General features: G+C 52.3%; 1 long non-coding RNA gene and 2 pseudogenes across 1 annotated transcript in view, besides 1 other annotated feature; 2 read left to right on the top strand and 1 right to left on the bottom strand.

Annotated features, from left to right (window-relative positions):
* FAM157A (family with sequence similarity 157 member A) overlaps nucleotides 1–16,214 on the top strand; it is a 69,308-nt gene extending 53,094 nt beyond the window's left edge. Inside the window, exons 12-18 of the long non-coding RNA NR_146164.1 lie at nucleotides 1,965–2,088; nucleotides 3,972–4,069; nucleotides 4,406–4,602; nucleotides 5,447–5,511; nucleotides 9,773–9,963; nucleotides 12,025–12,082; nucleotides 12,176–16,214. This is a non-coding gene — a long non-coding RNA (family with sequence similarity 157 member A). The remainder of the gene's footprint in view (nucleotides 1–1,964; nucleotides 2,089–3,971; nucleotides 4,070–4,405; nucleotides 4,603–5,446; nucleotides 5,512–9,772; nucleotides 9,964–12,024; nucleotides 12,083–12,175) is intronic.
* On the top strand, nucleotides 8,838–13,398 carry LOC100133150 (uncharacterized; annotated as a pseudogene).
* Nucleotides 14,141–15,064: an enhancer, noted in NCBI's record as "OCT4-H3K27ac-H3K4me1 hESC enhancer chr3:197947311-197948234 (GRCh37/hg19 assembly coordinates)". NCBI's record gives its function as "activates a minimal SCP1, AML or CMV promoter by ChIP-STARR-seq in naive H9 embryonic stem cells {active_cell/tissue: H9 hESC(naive)}" and the evidence as "EXISTENCE:reporter gene assay evidence [ECO:0000049][PMID:30033119]".
* Nucleotides 16,277–20,051, bottom strand: CICP6 (capicua transcriptional repressor pseudogene 6; annotated as a pseudogene).

Below are 20,087 nucleotides of genomic sequence, written 5' to 3' on the forward strand. Positions count from 1 at the left end.
GCACAGTGTTTTCAAAGTTCCTTTATGTCATAGTGTGTATCAATATTTCATTCCTTCTATGGCAGTATTCCATGGTAGAGACACACTGCATTTTGTTTATCTGTTCATCAGTTGGTGGATATTTGGGTTGTTTCCATGTATTCCATGTATTGGTCATTATGAATAATGCTGCTATGAAGATTGTTGTACAAGTTTTTGTGTGGACATATATTTTTATTTTTCTGGGATATATGCCTAGGAGTGAAATTGTTGCATTATAGGATGACTGTACATTTAGCCTTTTGAGAAACTGCCAGAATGTTTTCTAACGTGGCTATACCAGTTGGGTGCAATGGCTCACACCTGTAATCCCAGCTACTCAGGAGGCTCAGCTAGGAGGATGGCTTGAGCCCGTGAATTCAAGACCAGCCTGGGCAAGATAGTGAAACCCCGTCTTGATTTTTTAAAAATCCAATTAAAATGACAAGAAAAGAAATACCCAAACAAAATGGTTACACAATTTTATGTTCCCACCAGTAATGTATGTGGGTTCCAATTCCTCCACATCTTCACTGACATTTTTTTTTCTAGATAGGGGCTTGCTCTGTCTCTCAGGCCGCAGTGCAATGATGCCATCACAGTTCACTGCAGCCGTGACCTCCCAGGCACAAGTGATTCTCTCATCTCAGCCTCCTGGGTAGCTGAAAATTACAGGTGTACGCCACCATGCCTGGCTAATTTTTATATTTTTCTGTAGTGGTGGGATTTTACCATGTTGCCCAGGCTGGTCTCATACTCCTGGCCTCAAGTGATCTGCCCACCTCAGCCTCCCTAAGTTCTGGAATTACAGGCTGCCACCATGCCCGGCCTTCACCAACATTTGCCATTATCTGTTTTTTTTTTCTTCCTTTATACCTTAAAGCAGTATAAGAACAAGTGTCTTCAATTATAGGAAACAGTATAATCCCAGGGCTTTGGGAGGCTAAGACAGGAAGATGTCTTGATGCCAGGAGTTTTTTTTGTTGTTGTTGTTTTTGTTTTTGTTGTTGTTGTTGTTGTTGACAGTCTCGCTCTGTCACCCAGGGTGGAGTGCAGTGATGGGGTCCACTGCAACCTCCACCTCCCAGGTTCAAGTGATTCTCCTGCCTCAGCCTCCCGAGTAGGTGAGACTACAGGCACACGCCACTACTGCCCAGCTGATTTTTGTATTTTTGATAGAGTCAGAGTTTCACCGTGTTGGCCAGGCTGGTCTCGAACTCCAGACTTCAGGTGATTTGCCTGCCTTAGCTTCCCAAAGTGCTGCGATTACAAGCATGAGCCACCATGCCCAGCCTGATGCCAGGAGTTTTAGACTAGCCTGGGCAACCTAGCAAGACCTTGTCTCTACAGAATATTTAAAAATTAGCCAAATGTGGTGGTGCCTGTGTATAGTCTCTCTCCCTCTCTCTTTTTTTTTTCTAACTTTTTGTGACATGGTCTGGCTCTGTCACCCAGGCTGAAGTGCAGTGGTGTGATCATGGCTCACTGCAGCCTGAAACTCCTGGGATCAAGTGATCAATCCTCCCACCTCATCCTACCAAGTAGTAGGGACCACAGGTGTGTGCCACCCAGGTCTTGCTATGTTGTCCAGGCTGGTCTTGAGCTCCTGGCCTCAAGCAATCCTCTCACCTTGGCCCCCCACAGTGCAAGGATTACAGGTATGAGCCACCATGCCTGGCCCCTACCCTGCCTACTGAGAACCAAAGGAAGGATCCAAATTCTCCTTAGCTCAACTCGAGCCATTTCCTGATTGCTTCATCAGCGAGGAGCTGGTTATTGGGCTGTCCAGGCCTCCCAAGCAGCACAGAAATGAGGTGAAGGAGTTTTCCTGTTGCTCCACTCTGTAAGGAGTTGGAGGGTGATGTTTACTCGTTTGCAGAGAGAGATGCCTTGTAGGCACCTCAGGATGGAGAGGGCCCTGATTCCAATGTCCTTTTTTTCTTCAGAAACAGGACCTTGCCCTGTCACTCAGGATGGAGTTCAGTGGTCCTATCATGGCTCATTATAGCCTCAAACTCCCAGGCTCAAGCAATCCTACCATGTCAGCCTTCCCAGTAGCTGGGACTACAGGTAAGCATCGTGACACTCAGTGAATTTTGTTTTTATTTTGTTGTAGAGATGGGACCTCAGTATGTTGCCATGGCTGACCTTGAACTCCTGCACTCAAGGGATTTTCCTACCCTGGCCTCCCAAAGTATTGGTATTACAGGCATGAGCCATTGTGCCCACCGTCTCTGGTTCTTAACCTTCTGCCTCCCTCTTCCAGTTTTAAAGAATGCTTGTAATTACATGGGCTCTCCTAGATACTCCAGGATAATCTTGTTTTAAGGTCAGCTGATGAGCAACATTAATTTTATCTGCACTCTTAATTCCCCCTTCCTCTGTAACTGTGCTGTGTAACATAGGACATGAGCAATTGGTGGCGGTGGGGGTTATTACTTTGGCCACCACAGTAACTATTTTATGCCAGGTACTCAGCTAAGCACTGGTGAATTAAGCATGAATAACACACACTCCCTAATCTCCATCCATTCATGGGAGGAGCACTTCACCTGCCATGCTCCTGAGAATCTCGGGAGTCATAGAAGTCTTCTATGAGGAGGTGATGCCAAAGCGGACAAGTGACAGAGGAGTCAAAGCTAGCTAGGAAGAGAGTAGAGGTTTAAGGGGAAGCATATTATAAGCAGAGGATATTACCCACTTCAGAGACTCCCAGAGGAGAAAGAGTGTGCGTTCAAGGGGCAGATGAGGCTCAGTTGGACTCCATAGCAGATGAAATGGAGAGGGGCAAGCAGTGAGGCTGCCTTGCAAGGCAGGGCAGAGCAGGGGCTGTTAAGGAGTTTGGACTTAATCCCTGAGGCAAGGAGAAGTGATGTAAATGGGGGAGTAACATGATGAGATTCATAGATTAGAGACATGGCTCAGGCTGCTGTAGAGAAGGCACCGGGAAGAGCAGATGGCTCAATGTGTGTGCAGAAGACCTCTCCCTGAGTTTAGGGAGAGGTTTTTAAAACAGAAGAAGTTTGAGTAATTTAAATGATGATGGGAAGGAGCTAAAAGTGGGGGATAGGTTAAAGATACAGGAAAGTGGGAGGAAGAACTGACAAGTGAGGTTCCAGAGAGGGCAGGAGAAGAGGAGATTCCCATAGGGGGATTAACACTTTCTTTTCTTTTTTCTTTCTAAGACAGGGTCTCACTCTGTCGCCCAGGCTGGAGTGCAGTGGCACAATCTTGGCTCACTGTAGTGTAGACTTCCCAGGCTCAAGGGATTTCTCCCACCCCAGACTCCCAAGTAGCTGGAACTACGGGTGTGCACCACCACCACACCTGGCTAATGTCTCTTTTTTTTGGTAGACACAGAGTCTCACTATTTAGCACTGATTGGTCTCCAACTCCTGGCCTCAAGCGATCCTCCTGCCTAGGCTTCCCAAATTGCTGGGATTACAGGCATGAGCCACAATGCCTGGCCTCTGCTAGTTCCGTATTCTCTAGAGTTGTCTTTACTTTGTGCTAGTGTGTCCCTCATTGTGCTGATCCTCTGTAAAAATTAATACCTTTTTTTTTTTTTGAGATGGAGTTTCACTCTTGTTGCCCAGGCTGGAGTGCAATGGCGCTATCTCGGCTCAGCGCAACCTCCACCTTCTGGGTTCAAGCAATTCTCCTGCCTCAGCCTCCCGAGTAGTTGGGATTACAGGCATGTGCCACCATGCCCAGCTAATTTTGTATTTTTAGTAGAGATGGGGTTTCTCTGTGCTGGTCAGGCTGGTCTCGAACTCCTGACCTCAGGTGATCTGTCTGCCTTGGCCTCCCAAAGTGCTGGGATTACAGGCATGAGCCATTTTGCCTGGCCAAAATTAATACTTTTTATATTAAATTTACATATATATATATATATATATATATATATATATACGTTTTTTCTTTTTGATACCGGGTCTCACACTGTCACCCAGGCTGGAGTACAGTGGCACAACCTCTGCTCACTGCAGCCTCCACCTGCCAGGCTCAAGCAATTCTCCTGCCTCAGCCTCCCGAGTAGCTGGGATTACAGGTAAGTGCCACCACACCCAGCTGATTTTTGTGTTTTTTGTAGAGACGAGGTTTCGCCATGTTTCCCAGACTGTTCTCAAACTCCTGAGCTCAAAGCAGTCCACCCACCTTGGCCTCCCAGAGTTCTGGGATTACAGGTGTGAGCCATCTTGCTCATTCTAGTTTAAACTTTTGAGTGGTTTGTGTCTCCTGATTGGACTCCTACAAATACAGAATTGATGCTAGGAAGGGTACCAGGAGATAGACGCACACAGATGGGATTTGGGAATAGGTTTGGTTATCCAAGGAGCAGTGCTGAGCTCCTTGCAATGGGATATGGGATGCTGGTGATTTCCAGGATGTGAGCTCACAATGACTCAAGCTGCCACATACTGTTGATTGTGAAATGCCAGTTGAAGCATATGTCCTGCGAGCTTAGGGGTGCTACAAGTTGACCACTGCAGCAGTAAAGATGACTCTGAAGAATGGCGTGGGTTGGTTCCTTTCAAATGCACTTGAGCAGCGGTCTCCAACCACAGGGCCACAGAGCTGGAGGTGAGCAGCAGGCGAGTGAAGGGAAACTTCATCTGTATTTCTAGCCCCTCCCATCGCTTGCATGACCACCTGAGCTCCATGTCCTGTCAGATCAGCAGCAGCATTAGATTCTCACAGGAGCACAAACTCTGTTGTGAAGTGTGCATGCGAGGGATCTAGGTTGTGTACTCCTTATGAGAATCTAATGCCTGATATTCTGTTACTGTCTCCCATCACCCCAGATGGACAGTCTAGTTGCAGGAAAACAAGCTCAGAGATCCCACTGAGTCTACGTTATAGTGAGTTGTAGAATCATTTCATTATATATTACTATGTAGTAATAATAGAAATAAAGTGCACAATATATGTAATGCACTTGAATCATCCTGAAATTATTCCCTCATTCCCAGTCTGTGGAAAAATTGTCTTCCACACATTCACTCTGTTTTTTGGTAGAGGCAGGGTCTTAATATATTGCCCAGTCTGATCTCAAACTCCTGGCCTCAAGTAATATACCTCTCTCAGCCTCCCAAAGTGCTGAGATTACAGGCATAAGCCACCACCCTCAACCAAGACTTTCTTAAACCAAATAAAAATTAAGTGAGATTACTTGAGCCCAGGTGGTCAAGGCTGCAGTGAGCCTGATTGCACCACTGCACTCCAGCCTAGGTGACAGAATGAGACTGTCTCAAAAAATAAAATAAAATACAAATTAACCCTTCATGACATTCCCAGTAACTTCCTAAGTGCTCCCCACAAGTCTTTGAATTCTGTTTAATTCTCACATAACATTTAAGACATTTAAGAACTTATGTCTGTCTGTGTCATCCCTTTATGTCAAAAGATGTCTTTTTGTCACTTCCAGCTGGATCTACCATGAAAGACTTGTGAATCCAGGAAGAGAGACTGACTGGGCAACATGTTATTCAGGTACAAAAAGATTTGGACTGTAACTTAAAAATGATCAAATTATGTTTCCCATGCATCAGGTGCAATGGGAAGCTCTTCTGGAGAGTGAGAGAAGCTTCCAGTTAAGGTGACATTGAAGCCAAGTCCTGAAAGATGAGGAAGAGTTGTATGAGAGTGGGGAGGGAAGGGGGAGGTGGAGGGATGGGGAATGGGCCGGGATGGGATAGCGCAAACTGTCCGGGAAGGGAAACCAGCACTGTACAGACCTGAACAACGAAGATGGCATATTCTGTTCAGGGAATGGTGAATTAAGTGTGGCAGGAATGCTTTGTAGACACAGTAATTTGCTTGTATGGAATTTTGCCTGAGAGACCTCATTGCAGTTTCTGATTTTTTGATGTCTTCATCCATCACTGTCCTTGTCAAATAGTTTGGAACAGGTATAATGATCACAATAACCCCAAGCATAATATTTCGTTAATTCTCACAGAATCACATGTAGGTGCCACAGTTATCCCCATTTTATGAATGGAGTGATGAAAACCTTAGGAATAATGAATGATTTGCGCAGGCTCACCTGGATATTAAGACTGAGTCAAATGTTGGGTCTGGTCTGACTTTAATGTTTGCTTTGTTCATGAGCACCACATATTGCCTCTCCTATGCAGTTAAGCAGGTAGGTGACAGAAAAGCCCATGTTTGTCTCTACTCACACACTTCCGACTGAATGTACGTATGGAGTTTCTACACCAGATTCTTCAGTGCTCTGGATATTAACTGGGTATCCCATGACTTTATTCTGACACTACCTGGAGTTAGCACAGACCCCACAAGTTAGGGGCTCAGTCCCACGAGGCCATCCTCACTTCAGATGACAATGGCAAGTCCTAAGTTGTCACCATACTTTTGACCAACCTGTTACCAATCGGGGGTTCCCGTAACTGTCTTCTTGGGTTTAATAATTTGCTAGAACAGTTTACGGAACTCAGAAAAACAGTTTATTTTCTTTTTTTCTGAGAGAGAGGGTCTTATTTTGTTGCCCAGGCTGGTGTGCAATGGTGCAGTCATAGCTCATTGCAGCCTTGATTGTCTGGGTTCCAGTGGTTCTCCCACCTCAGCCTCCCTAGTAGCTGAGACTACATGCCTGCACCACCACATCTGGCTAGTTTCTTTTATTTTTTGTATAGATGGGGTCTTGTTGTGTTGGCCAGGCTGGCCACAAATTCCTGGTCTCAAGTGATCCTCCCACCTCAGCCTCTGAAAGTGCTGGGATTACAGATGTGAGCCACCACATCTGGCCAGTTCATTTCCTATTACTGGTTCATTGTGAAGGATACATCTCAGAAACAGTCAATGAAAGAGACGTGCATGCTGGATGCAGTGGCTCATGCCTGTAATCTCAGCACTTTGGGAGGCCAAGGTGGGAGGATCGCTTAAACTCAGGAGTTTGAGACCAGCCTGGGCAACATGGTGAAAACCTGTCTCTATAAAAAATTAAAAAATAATAATAATAACTGGTGTGGTGTTGTGCACCTAGAGTTCCAACTACTAGGGAAGCTGAGATGAGAGGATACCTTGAGCTGGGGACTGGGGAGGCTTAGGTTACAGTAAGCTGAGATTGTGCCACTGCACTCCAGCTTGGACAAAAGAGCCTGATCCTGTCTCAAAAAAAAGAAAGATACCCAGGGCAAGTTAAGTTCGGAGGGGCACAGAGCTCCCATGCCCTCTGTTGAACATGCGACCCTCCCAGCATCTCCTGTGTCCAGCAACCCTGAAAGCTCTGCAAACCCCTTTCAGGGTGTTTATGGAGGCTTTATTATGCAAGCATGATTGATAAAACCTTTGGCTGTTGGTGATTAAGTCAGTCTCCAGCCCCTCTTCCCCCTGGAGTTCAGTGCATGAGGCTGAAAGTTCCAAGCCTCTTACCATGTGGTTGCATGGTAATCAGCCCTCCTCTTGAAGAAATTTAGGAGCTTGCAGTCACCCAGTCATCTCAACAACATCCCCAAATGCATTCTTACCATGCTGGAGATCCCAAAGTTCTTAGAGGCTCTTGTGTTAGAAACCTGGGACCAAGACCAAATATTAAAACAAAAGATGCTCCTGTCACATCTATCACTGAGGTCTTTGTAAGAGCTTTAGAAGCTCTGTGCCAGGAACCAGGGACAGAGATTAAATATATATTTCTTTTCTTTTTTTTGAGACAGAATCTTCCTGTGCCATCCAGGCTGGAGTGCAGTGATGTGATCATAGCTCACTATAGCTTTGGCCTTCTGAGATCAAGCAATCCTCCCATCTCAACCTCCCAAGTAGCTAGGACTACACACGCATGTCACCCATGCCCAGATCATTTTTGTAGAGTCAGAGTTTCACCGTGGTGGCCAGGTTGGCCATGTTGGCCAGATGGGGTCTTCTTTTGTTGCCCAGGCTGGCCACAAATTCCTGGGCTCAAGTGATCCTCCCACCTCGTCCTTGTAGAGATGAGATTTAGTTATGTCGTCCAGGCTGATCTCAAACTCCTGGGCTAAATCGATTGTCTCACCTCAGCCTCTCAAGTATGTTATGAAGGTTATATGTTAGGAAGGGTCCCAGGAGGTAAACCCACACAGATGGGATTTGGGCATAGGTTTGGTTTCCCAGGGGGCAGTGCTGAGCTCTTTGCCAGTGGGAAATGGGATGCTGGTGATTTCCAGTAGGTGACCTCACAGTGACTCAAGCTACCACTTACTGTTGATTGTGACGAAATGCCAGCTGAGGCACATGCCTTGGGAGCTAAGTGGTTGCTGCCCTTGACCACTGTGAAGACTGGTGTGGGAAGGGTCGTTTTGGATGCACTTGAGCAGGGGTCCCCAACCCCTGAGCCATGGAGCCGCAAGGAGCCACACAGCAGGAGGTGAGCGGTGTCGAGTGAGGGAGTGAGGGAAGCTTCGTCTGTATTTACAGCCACTCCCCTTTGCTCACATTCCCGCCTGAGCTCCACCTTCTCAGATGAGCAGCAGCATTAGATGCTCATAGGAGAACGCACCCTGTTGTGAACTGTGCATGTGAGGGATCTGGGTTGCGCTGTCCTTATGAGAGTCTAATACCTATTGATCTGTCACTTTCTCCCATCACGCTCAGGTGGGAACATCCAGTTGCAGGAAAACAAGCTTAACACGCCCACTGATTCTACATTATGGTGAGTTCTATAATTATTTTATTATATATTACAGTGTAATAATGGAAATAAAGTGCCTAATAAATGCAAATGTGCTTACATCTTTTGGCCCAGCTCCTACCTCCCGGCAGCCTCTCCAGGCCCAGAACTTTCTCCAGTCAGCCTCTACAGACCAAGCTCATGACTCTCAATGGCCTATTTAGGCCCATACCCTACGTCACGGCAGCCTCCGCAGATGAGGCTACTGCCTCACAACAGCCTCCACAGGCACAGCTCCATCGTTACAATGGCCTCTTTAGACCCAGCTCCTGCCTCCCAGCCTTCTCTCCAGGCCCTGAACTTTCTCAGTAAGTTCAGGTAGCTGGGACTGTAGGTATACATGACGATACTTGGCTAATTTTTAAATTGTTTTGTAGACACGGGGTCTCACTTTTTTGGCCAGGCTGGTGTCAAACTAATGGCCTCAAGTGACCCTTCCACCCCTGCCTCCCATCCTCGAGGTATGTGCCACCACAAGGAGCACTTGTTCAATTTTCTAAAAAAGAAATTTCTAAAGTAAGGCTGTGGGATGATGGCAGGAAGATAAAAGAAAAACAGAAGAATAAGTTAAAATGACTTATTCACGCATATTCTTTTGACAGCAAGAAGAACTTTTAGTATATACATTCCTTACAAACAAACAAAAGGCAGATAAACAATGTTGTATAGGAACTTCAACACACACTGTACAATATTCCCACTTTGCTGACATAAGTTATGGAAATTTCATGGTTTACTTGAGTGTCGCTACCAGTATTTTGCTTCTCTGATGATTTTTATCAACTTCCTCATCTGTTAACTTCTCTCCAAGGTATGTCATGTCACGACATACTGCCGCTGCACGAACATGGCCAGTGTCTTCCTATTCAACATGTAGAATGCTTTCCTAATTTCTCTTTTTACTCTCTGTCTTTGTGTTCTGCATTTTCCTTACTTTTATTGTCAGAAACTCCAGAAAGTCAATCGTACTAATTTATCACGATTTGCTTTATTAATTTATACTTTGCTTATATGGAATTTTGCCCAGCAGACCTCATCACAGTTTCTAACCTGCTTTATTTATTTATTTATTTTTTTCTGAGACAGGGTCTCCCTCTGTTGTCCAAGGCTGGAGTGTAGTAGTGCTATCGCAGCTGACTGCAGCCTCAACCTTCCAGGCTGAAGCGATCCTCCCACCTCAACCTCCCACGTGGCTGAGACTACAGGTGCTTGCCACTATGCCCAACTAACATTTGGAATTTTCGTATACGTGGATTCTAGAGGGGTGACAGCGAAACGTGAGTAAGCATGGATTTTGGTATATGCAGAGATGGGGGGCTGGAACTAATTCTGTATACTGAGGGATGACGACTGTGTATGTTTTTACAATTACGCTGTAGGATACATACTGTTGCATAGCCTTGAAAATAATAATTTTTAATTGAGTGGAATAAGAATAATATTGATAAAAGTAGCAGCTGGCCAGGTGTGGTGGCTCACACTGGTAATCGCAACACTTTGGGAGGCTGAGGCAGGAGGATGGCTTGAGGCCAAGAGTTTGCGATAGGCCTTGGAAACAAAGGGGGAGTCACCATCCCTACAGAAAAATACATGAATTAGCCTAGTGTGGTGGCATGTTCCTGTAGTCCCAGCTACTTGGGAGGCTGAGGTGGGAGGATCACTTGAGCCCAGGGAGGCTGAGACCGCAGTGAGTCATGATCAGGCCTCTGCACTCCAGCCTGGGTGACAGAGTGAGACCCTGTCTCAAAACAACAAAAAAGTAGCAGCTAACATCAACTGACCTTTTACCAGGTGCCTATTGATACCATAGTTTAATTTCTTATAACTGTTTCTTATTTCACTTACCAACTCTGTCTTCAGTTACTCCCAGATTTTTACTGTGTGTGTACAGATGACCTTTTGCTTAGATTGAATTGTCTCCCCAGAAGTAAGATTACTGTGAGTCATGGTGAATGGACATTCTCCTTACCCTTGATGTAAATTGACAGGGTTTTGGGTGCCTCCCAGCTATAATCTTAGCACTTTGGGAGGCTAAGAGAGGAGGATTGCTTGAGGCCAAGAGTTGGAGGAGGCAGTATGGCAGTATGGTGAGACCCTGTCTCCATTATTTTAAAAAATTGACAGGCTTTACCCTGGAAGGCTTATACACAATTTAACCACCCCTCATAGTATAAGAAAGTGCCCATTTCACTGCACCTTTGCCAGCACAGGGTATTATAATTTAGTAAGCCATTTTTTGTTTGATTATTTTAAATAGACAAAAGACCTCATATTACTTTACTTGTCACATTTCAACATCTTTCCTCAGCTTATTAGCTCTATTTCTTTTCTGTCTGTAAATGGTTGTTGTGGTTTTGTTCTTTGAGACAGGGTCTTGCTCTGTCATCCGGCTGGACTGTAGTGGCATAATCATGCCTCACTGCAGCCTTGACCTCCCAGGCTCAAACTTCAGCATTCCGAGTAGCTGGGACTACAAGTGTGCACCACCACCCCCAGCTAACTTTTTTCTTCTTTTGGATAGAGACAGGGTCTCACTGTGTCGTCCAGAGCGGTCTCTAGCTCCTGGCCTTAAGCAATCCTCCTGCATTAGCTTCTGTAATGGCTGGAATTTCAGGCATGAGCCACCATGCCTGGCCTGGGCTAGTCCCATATTCTCTAGAGTTATCTTTACTCTGTGCTAGCCAATCTCTCATTATGCTGTTCACCTGTTATAATGAATAATTCTCTGTATTAAATTTTACCACTTTAAACTTTTGAGTGGTTTATGCTTCCTGATTGGACTCTGACTAATATGTTAGGAAGGGTCCCAGGAGGTAAACCCACACAGATGGGATTTGGGCATAGGTTTGGTTTCCCAGGGGGCAGTGCTGAGCTCTTTGCCAGTGGGAAATGGGATGCTGGTGATTTCCAGTAGGTGACCTCACAGTGACTCAAGCTACCACTTACTGTTGATTGTGACGAAATGCCAGCTGAGGCACATGCCTTGGGAGCTAAGTGGTTGCTGCCCTTGACCACTGTGAAGACTGGTGTGGGAAGGGTCGCTTTGGATGCACTTGAGCAGGGGTCCCCAACCCCTGAGCCATGGAGCCGCAAGGAGCCACACAGCAGGAGGTGAGCGGTGTCGAGTGAGGGAGTGAGGGAAGCTTCGTCTGTATTTACAGCCACTCCCCTTTGCTCACATTCCCGCCTGAGCTCCACCTTCTCAGATGAGCAGCAGCATTAGATGCTCATAGGAGAACGCACCCTGTTGTGAACCGTGCATGTGAGGGATCGAGGTTGCGCTGTCCTTATGAGAGTCTAATACCTATTGATCTGTCACTTTCTCCCATCACGCTCAGGTGGGACCATCCAGTTGCAGGAAAACAAGCTTGACACGCCCACTAATTCTACATTATGGTGAGTTCTATAATTATTTTATTATATATTACAGTGTAATAATGGAAATAAAGTGCCTAATAAATGCAAATGTGCTTACATCTTTTGGCCCAGCTCCTACCTCCCGGCAGCCTCTCCAGGCCCAGAACTTTCTCCAGTCAGCCTCTACAGACCAAGCTCATGACTCACAATGGCCTATTTAGGCCCATACCCTACGTCACGGCAGCCTCCGCAGATGAGGCTACTGCCTCACAACAGCCTCCACAGGCACAGCTCCATCGTTACAATGGCCTCTTTAGACCCAGCTCCTGCCTCCCAGCCTTCTCTCCAGGCCCTGAACTTTCTCAAGTCGACCTCACCAGGCCCAGCTCATGCTTCTTTGCAGCCTCTCCAGGCCCAGCTCCTGCATCTTGGTGGCCCCTCCAGGCCCAGCCTCTGCCTCCCGTCAGCCTCTACAGTCCCAACGTCTGCCTCACAGCAGATTCTTCACGCCCAGCATCTACCTCACTGTGGACCCCCCAAGCCAAGCTCCCAACCTTTCAGCAGCTTCTACACACCCAGCTCCCGCCTGCCAGTGGCCTCTTCAGGCCCATGGGGCTCATTCCTGACAACGGCCTTTCCAGGCCCAGTTTTTCCCTTCCGGCGGCCTCTCCGGGCCCAGAACCTCCTCAAGTCAGCCTCTCCAGACCCACTTGCACCCTCCGGGCGTTCTCTCCGGGCCCAGCTCTTCTTCCTGGTTGGGTCTCCAGGCCCGATTCCTGCCTCTCAACAACCTCTTTGGACTCAGTGCCTACCCATCTCCTGGCGGCCTTGGTCGGCCCACAGCTTCCTCAAGCCAAGCTCCCCAGGCCCAGGTCAGGCCTCACGGTGGCCTCTCCAGGATGAGCTCCTGCCCTCCGATGGCATCTCCAGGCCCCAAATGGTCTCCGGTCGGTGGGCTCCTCCACGCCAAGGTTGGGCCTCCCGGCGACTGCCGCAGGCCCAAGTTGTCCTGAAGTCGGGCTCTCCCGGCCCTGCCTCCCAGCAAGTAAGCAAGCTCTTTTGGCTCAACTCCTGCCCAGCTCCCAACCGCCTTTGTAGGCCCCGAACTTTCTCCAGCCAAGCTCTGAGGGCCCACCTCCTGCCTCCTGGTGGCCTGTACAGTTCTAGCACTGGTTGGAGAACAGCCTCTGCAGGCCCCGCCTTGCCTCCCAGGGGCCTCTCCAGGCCAAGCTCTTGCACCCACGGCGGCCTCCCGGGGCAAGTCCCTGCCTGCCTCCCAGCAGCCCGCGTGCGCCCAGCTCCTCCCTCACGGTGGCCTGTTGATGCCAACTCATGCCTCTGGACCCTGCACAGAGCGTGACGCTGCCTCACACTGGCTACTCCACGCTGAGAGAGGTCAGTGTGAGCCCTTGCCTCACACCGGCTCCTCCCACGCTTGAGAGAGGTCAGCGTGAGCCCCTTGCCTCACACCGGCCCCTCCCACGCTGAGAGAGGTCAGTGTGAGCCCTTGCCTCACACCGGCCCCTCCCACGCGGACAGAGGTCAGCGTGAGCCCCTTGCCTCACACCGGCCCCTCCCACGCTGAGAGAGGTCAGTGTGAGCCCTTGCCTCACCCCGGCCCCTCCCACGTGGACAGAGGTCAGCGTGAGCCCCTTGTCTCACACCGGCCCCTCCCACGCTGAGAGAGGTCAGTGTGAGCCCTTGCCTCACACCGGCCCCTCCCACGCGGACAGAGGTCAGCGTGAGCCCCTTGCCTCACACCGGCCCCTCCCACGCGGACAGAGGTCAGCCCGAGCCCCTTGTCTCACACCGGCCCCTCCCATGCTGAGAGAGGTCAGCGTGCCCCTTGTCTCACACCGGCCCCTCCCACGCTGAGAGAGGTCAGCCCAAGCCCCTTGCCTCACACCGGCCCCTCCCACGCGGACAGAGGTCAGCCCGAGCTCCTTGCCTCACACCGGCCCCTCCCACGCTGAGAGAGGTCAGTGTGAGCCCTTGCCTCACACCGGCCCCTCCCACGCGGACAGAGGTCAGCGTGAGCCCCTTGCCTCACACCGGCCCCTCCCACGCTGAGAGAGGTCAGTGTGAGCCCTTGCCTCACACCGGCCCCTCCCACGCGGACAGAGGTCAGCGTGAGCCCCTTGCCTCACACCGGCCCCTCCCACGCTGAGAGAGGTCAGCCCGAGCCCCTTGCCTCACACCGGCCCCTCCCACGCTGAGAGAGGTCAGCGTGAGCCCCTTGTCTCACACCGGCCCCTCCCACGCTGAGAGAGGTCAGCCCGAGCCCCTTGCCTCACACCGGCCCCTCCCACGCTGAGAGAGGTGTGAGCCCCTTGTCTCACACCGGCCCCTCCCACGCGGACAGAGGTCAGCGTGAGCCCCTTGCCTCACACCGGCCCCTCCCACGCTGAGAGAGGTCAGTGTGAGCCCTTGCCTCACACCGGCCCCTCCCACGCGGACAGAGGTCAGCGTGAGCCCCTTGCCTCACACCGGCCCCTCCCACGCTGAGAGAGGTCGGTGTGAGCCCTTGCCTCACACCGGCCCCTCCCACGCGGACAGAGGTCAGCGTGAGCCCCTTGCCTCACCCCGGCCCCTCCCACGCTGAGAGAGGTCAGTGTGAGCCCTTGCCTCACACCGGCCCCTCCCACGCGGACAGAGGTCAGCGTGAGCCCCTTGCCTCACCCCGGCCCCTCCCACGCTGAGAGAGGTCAGTGTGAGCCCTTGCCTCACACCGGCCCCTCCCACGCGGACAGAGGTCAGCGTGAGCCCCTTGCCTCACACCGGCCCCTCCCACGCTGAGAGAGGTCAGTGTGAGCCCTTGCCTCACACCGGCCCCTCCCACGCGGACAGAGGTCAGCGTGACCCCCTGCCTCAACAGGCCACCGTGAGGGAGGAACAGGATCGCACTCGGGCTGCTGGGAGGTAGGCAGGGACTTGGGCCTGGGAGGTCGCGGTGGGGCGAGAGCTGGGCCTGGAGACTCCCCTGGGAGGCAACAGCGGGGTCTGCAGACGCCCTTCTCCAGCCGGAGCTGGGACTGTTCAGTCACTGGGAGAAGGGATGTGGGTCTGAAGAGCTTGGTTGCAGAAACTTCGGGGTCTACAAACGCAGGCGGGAGCTGAGCCAAAAGAGCTTGTTTGCTGGGAGGTGGGAGATGCAGCCAGGAGGAACAGCTGGGCAATGCGGGAGGCAGAGCCAGGCCTCCTCAAGTTGGCCTCTCAGACCCACTTGCAGCCTCCCGGCGCCCCCTCCGGGCCCAGCTCTTCCTCCCGGCTGCATCTCCAGGCCGGACTCTGGCCCGACTCCAGGTCCCAACAACGTCTTTGGACTCAGCTCCTGCCCAGCTCCCAGCGGCCCTGGTAGGCCCACAACTTCCCTAAGCCAAGCTCCCCAGGCCCAGCTCAGGCCTCGCGGTGGCCTCTCCAGGCTCAGCTCCTGGCCCTCCGATGACATCTGCAGGCCCCAAATGGCCTCCGGTCGGTGGGCTCCTCTAGGCCCAGCTTGGGCCTCCCGGCGGCCTCCGCAGGCCCAAATCGTCCCGAAGTCAGTCTCTCCAGGCTTAGCTCCAGCCTCCCGGCGGCCTCTGCAGGCCCAAGTCGTCCTCAAGTCGGCCTGGAAGTGGGCCTGGAAGAGCAGCAAGTCGGCCTCCCTGGGCCCAGCTCCGTCCTCTCGACGGCCTCTCCAGGTGCAAAACTTCCTCGAGTCAGCCTCTCCAGGCCCAGCTCCTCCTGCCTCCCAGTGGCCTCTTTCAGCCCAGCCCAGCTCATGGCTCTCGGCGGCCTTCGCAGGCCCTGCTTTTGACTTTTGGCAGCCTCTTCAGGCGCAGAACTTGATCTCCAGTCGGCCTTTGCAGGCCCGGCCTCCTGCCTCTCGAAGGCCTGCACGGGCCCGGCCTCGGCCTCGGCCTCACAGCGGACTCTCCACGCCCAGCTAGCTCTCGCCTCACTGCGGCCTCCCCAGTCCAAAGCTCCTGCCTTTCGGCCACTTCGGCAGGTCCAGCTCCTGCCTGCCAGTGGCCTCTTTAGGCCCAGCTCATTCCTCACGTCGGCCATTCCAGGCCCCGTTTTTCCCTTCCGGCAGCCTCTTGGCCTCTAATTTGTTTATCTTTTGTGTATAAATCCCAAAATATTGAATTTTGGAATATTTCCACCATTATGTAAATGTTTTGGTAGGTAATTTATTTGGAGTGAGTTTCTGCGTCAAGCCCGAGTTTTTTATTTTATTTTCCTTATTATTTGGTGTTAAACAGGTTTAATGACGGTCATGGCAACTTTTTGGCACAATGAAAAATGTCGCCCACGATCAACGTGTTCTGTTCTGGGGAAGGGGGCAAAGGCAGGGTGAATCACTTTCTTAAAAAGTATAGCTCAAGTTGGGAGTGCAGAGGGAATGGGGAGAAAACCCTCCCGCTGCCTGTGTCGAAGTGCAGGAGCCCCCACCCCCATACTCACCTGAGTCCAGCCCCTCTGGGGAAAGAAGGGGTGCATGAACTCCCCCTAGTCCACAGGCGCCTCCCTGTGGCCCAAGGCCCTCTTCACACTCCATCTTGTAGCCCCAGCAGGAGCTATTTTCCGAAAAGTGAAAAGCTCTGAAGGTCCCACAATTCATGGTATGTACAGGGGCTCGGAGGAGGGAAACTGCCCAGCTTTCCCCCGGCACAGCTGCAGGGGTAGGGGGTATAGATAAGAGGAGCAGGCCTTGGCCAGGCGTGGTGGCTCACGCCTGTAATCCCAGCACTTTGGGAGGGGGAGGCAGGCAGATCACAATGTCAGGAGATCGAAATCAGCCTGGCCAAGATGATGAAGCCCCGTCTGTACTAAAAATACAAAAATTAGCCGGACGTGGTAGCGTCTACCTGTAATCCTAGCTACCCGGAAGGCTGAGGCAGGAGAATGGCGTGAACCCGGCGGGAAGAGGTTGCAGTGAGCCAAGATCGCACCACTGCACTCCAGCCTGGGCGACAGAGCAAGACTCGGTCTCAAAAAAAAAAAAAAAAAAAAAAAAAAAAAAAAAGAGGAAGGCCTTACTCCGTCCCAAACTGAAAGGATTAAATGGCTTCACCTGGGAGAAGATAACCATCCTGCCCTCCATTGCTACCCCCACATACTGTCCATGTTCTCAGGGGGTACTGTGAGTCCTGGGATCTTTGGGGTTGCCCACCTGCCTGTGCTAGTTATGGAGACCCCCAGGTGTTGAGGCAGGGCTGGGGTGTCCCCTTCCAACCAGGCTGTCAAGGCCCCAACTCTGGGGCAGAGGCAGTGGCAGGGCAGCCAGGGTTGTGCCAGAGCCTGAGCAGGTTGAGGTGGGGTCAGGCAGGGCTGGGAGTCAGGGCAGGGGCAGCAGCAGTGGACCTGCTATGCACACATCTTCTTCTCCAAGGTTTGTGTGCAGAACATCCTGCCCATGCTGCCCCAGCAGCTTCAGTTGGCACCTGCCTCAGTCCAGCCTCTGGGAACCATGCAGCAGCTCCCAGCGGCCCTGCACCCACCACCAGCATCCGTTTCACCTGCAGTTGAAGATCCGTGAGGTGCCCAGAAGATCATGCAGTCATCAGTCCCACGGAGCAGCCTGCGAGGCTGAGGCTCCTCCCACTGGACCGCCCCCCAACTGGCACCACTGCTGCCCCTGCCCCTACTCTCAGCCTCACGTGACTCTCGGGCAGAAGCAGTGGTGGGGCAGCCAGGGCAGCGTCAAGAGTCTGAGCCAGGTGAGGTGCGGTCAGGACCCCCACAGGGCTGGGAGTCAGGGCAGGGGCAGAACAAACCTTGGAGGGGAAGATGTGTGCATAGTGGGCCTGGAGGGCGGCTGTGGCCTAGTGGACAGGAAGAAGCAGTGGGCCTGGAAGAGCTGCATGATCAGGGCCGGCACTGGTCCAGGGTACGTGCAGTGAAGAGGACAGCGCCTTCTCGGTCTCCGGTTCCCTGAGCCTGTCCTCGGCTTCTCCACCTGTACAGGCAAAGGGGAAGCTGTCCCCATCACACGTGGCACACTTGGGGGTGTTGGGCTTTGGACTGCAGCTGGAGCATCTTCTCATCTTGCATTTGGGCGCGGTGGGGTCCTCCAGTGTGGGATCCATGTCCGTGGGGTTCCCTCTGCCCCGACCCCGAAAGCCCAGTCAGTTTCTCTTCAGGCTCTGCCCCCCGGGTGGCTCAGCCCAGCTCCTGCCTAGGAAAGCCTTAGTATTGGGAGGGACCCTGATGACTGAGGAGCCTGGTAGCTCCAGGTCGCCCACACTTTCAGGTCTCTTGCACCAGAAGGTGGCAGGATCCATTGGGAGGAAACAGGCCACCTTGGAAGGCGTCCCTGGGCCCCCATCCCCAGGGGTTGGGGCCGTAGGGGGCCCGCTCTGCTGCGTTGACCAGACTCCTGGGCTTTGAAGGCTCCTGGGCCCAGTAAGAAGGAGGTGGGTGCCAAGGTTGAGGAGGAAGCATCCGAGTATGTGTAGGAGGAGGACAGGGTGTGACCATAGACTGCCAAAAGCTGCAGGTGGATCGGGGGACCCTGGGGGCTCAGGATCCAGCAAGGGGCGGCAGGAGTAAAGGAGGAAGGAATGACAGGTGCAAATACCTTCCCACCAAAGCCCTTGTTGCCCTCTGGCTCCTCCCCAGAGTTGTCCCCACTCTCAGTCGGTCACCCACTCCTTGAACTTGAGATCGGTGTCGGTGGTGCTAAAGCCATCATCAGCAATGACATCATCACCCCCTCCTCCTCATGGATGACCGTGTGCTCTTCGTCACTCGCTATGACCTCGCTGGCCATGTGCTGGGAATGAGCAGCTCACGTGGGCGGCAGCAGGGCTGCCCACGGGTCACCTCCCTCACCAGGGGCTGCAAAGTGGCCTGGAGCTCCATGCTGAGTAGAAGGCTTTGGGCCAGAGTATGATGCAGTGCCAGACACCACCTGTGTCAGTTCCCGTAGTGCCTGACGGTCTATTTCCCTGCCGTCCAGGCTGTGTACCCCGCTGTGGGAGAAGGCTTGGGCCAGGCTGAGCCAGGTTCCCTGACTGTGTGCAGCCGTTCTGCCCCACAGAAGCTGCTCCTTGGTATCCGAGCTCTGGAGTGTTTGGGCTGCAACTGACAGGAGTTCAGAGGACACCCCAGGGGCAGTGGCAGTGCCCGTCTCTGATATGCTCCGCTCCCACGAGCCCTTGTTACACTCCTGCTAGCCCCTGGCTTGTGGGCTTGGCCTCTGAGCTGGACTTCTTTCGGTCCTTGTTGCAAGTGGGCCACCTTCACCTGGAAGGCCAGGTTGTATTTCTGCATCTCATTGGGCCCCAGGGTGTACCACCGCTCGCTCAGCATCTGGCTGACGGTCCGGTTATCCTGGTTGGGATGACCCTGGTGCGCCCCGCCAGGGCCTGGTGCCGCCTGCTGAAGATCATGAGCGCCACTCATGGGCCACCGGATGTGGTCCTTGTCTGATTTGTTGGGGCTGCGTCCATCCTTCTCAGAAGATGAGTCCTGTTCCTTGCGCAGGGCACTGAGGGACTGGGCCTGACATCATCTGAGTGGTAGAGGCAACTGGGTGTCAGGAGACATGATGGAGAGGAAAGCATCATCATGGTCATTCTCTGTCTCACTGTCCAGCAGGGACTCCCCTGAGGGGCCCAGGGCTCCTCCTCCATGGTGGGAGGTGAGCTTTTACCAGGTTCCACCACCCCCAAAGTGTGTGGGGTTGCGGGCCCTGGGCTTTCAGGGCAGGTGGCTCCAGGGGGCTGCCCAGGGTCAACACTCCCTGTCCCACCTGGTGGACGCTCATGAGCAACGGCTGCCAACTTGGCAGGTTGTTTTCTCTGGTTGGAGGCCACTGAGTGACTGGCAGGTTGCTGGGCCTCGTGTGGCTGCAGGGAGGGGTCAGGAAGGGGATGGAGTACCAGGAGAACACGGCCGCAGAGTGACCTTCCACATTCCTCCACACGAACATGCTGACGCCACGGGAGGCCTCACTGAACGCAGGCCTGGGGGCCGAGCACTTGGTCCGGGCAGGGGGTTCCTGGCAGGGGCTCACACCTCCTCGCCCCCTCCTCAGCCAAGGTGGCTTGGGCCCAGA

Source organism: Homo sapiens, chromosome 3, assembly GCF_000001405.40.
Source record: "Homo sapiens chromosome 3, GRCh38.p14 Primary Assembly".
Taxonomy (NCBI): Eukaryota; Metazoa; Chordata; class Mammalia; order Primates; family Hominidae; genus Homo; species Homo sapiens.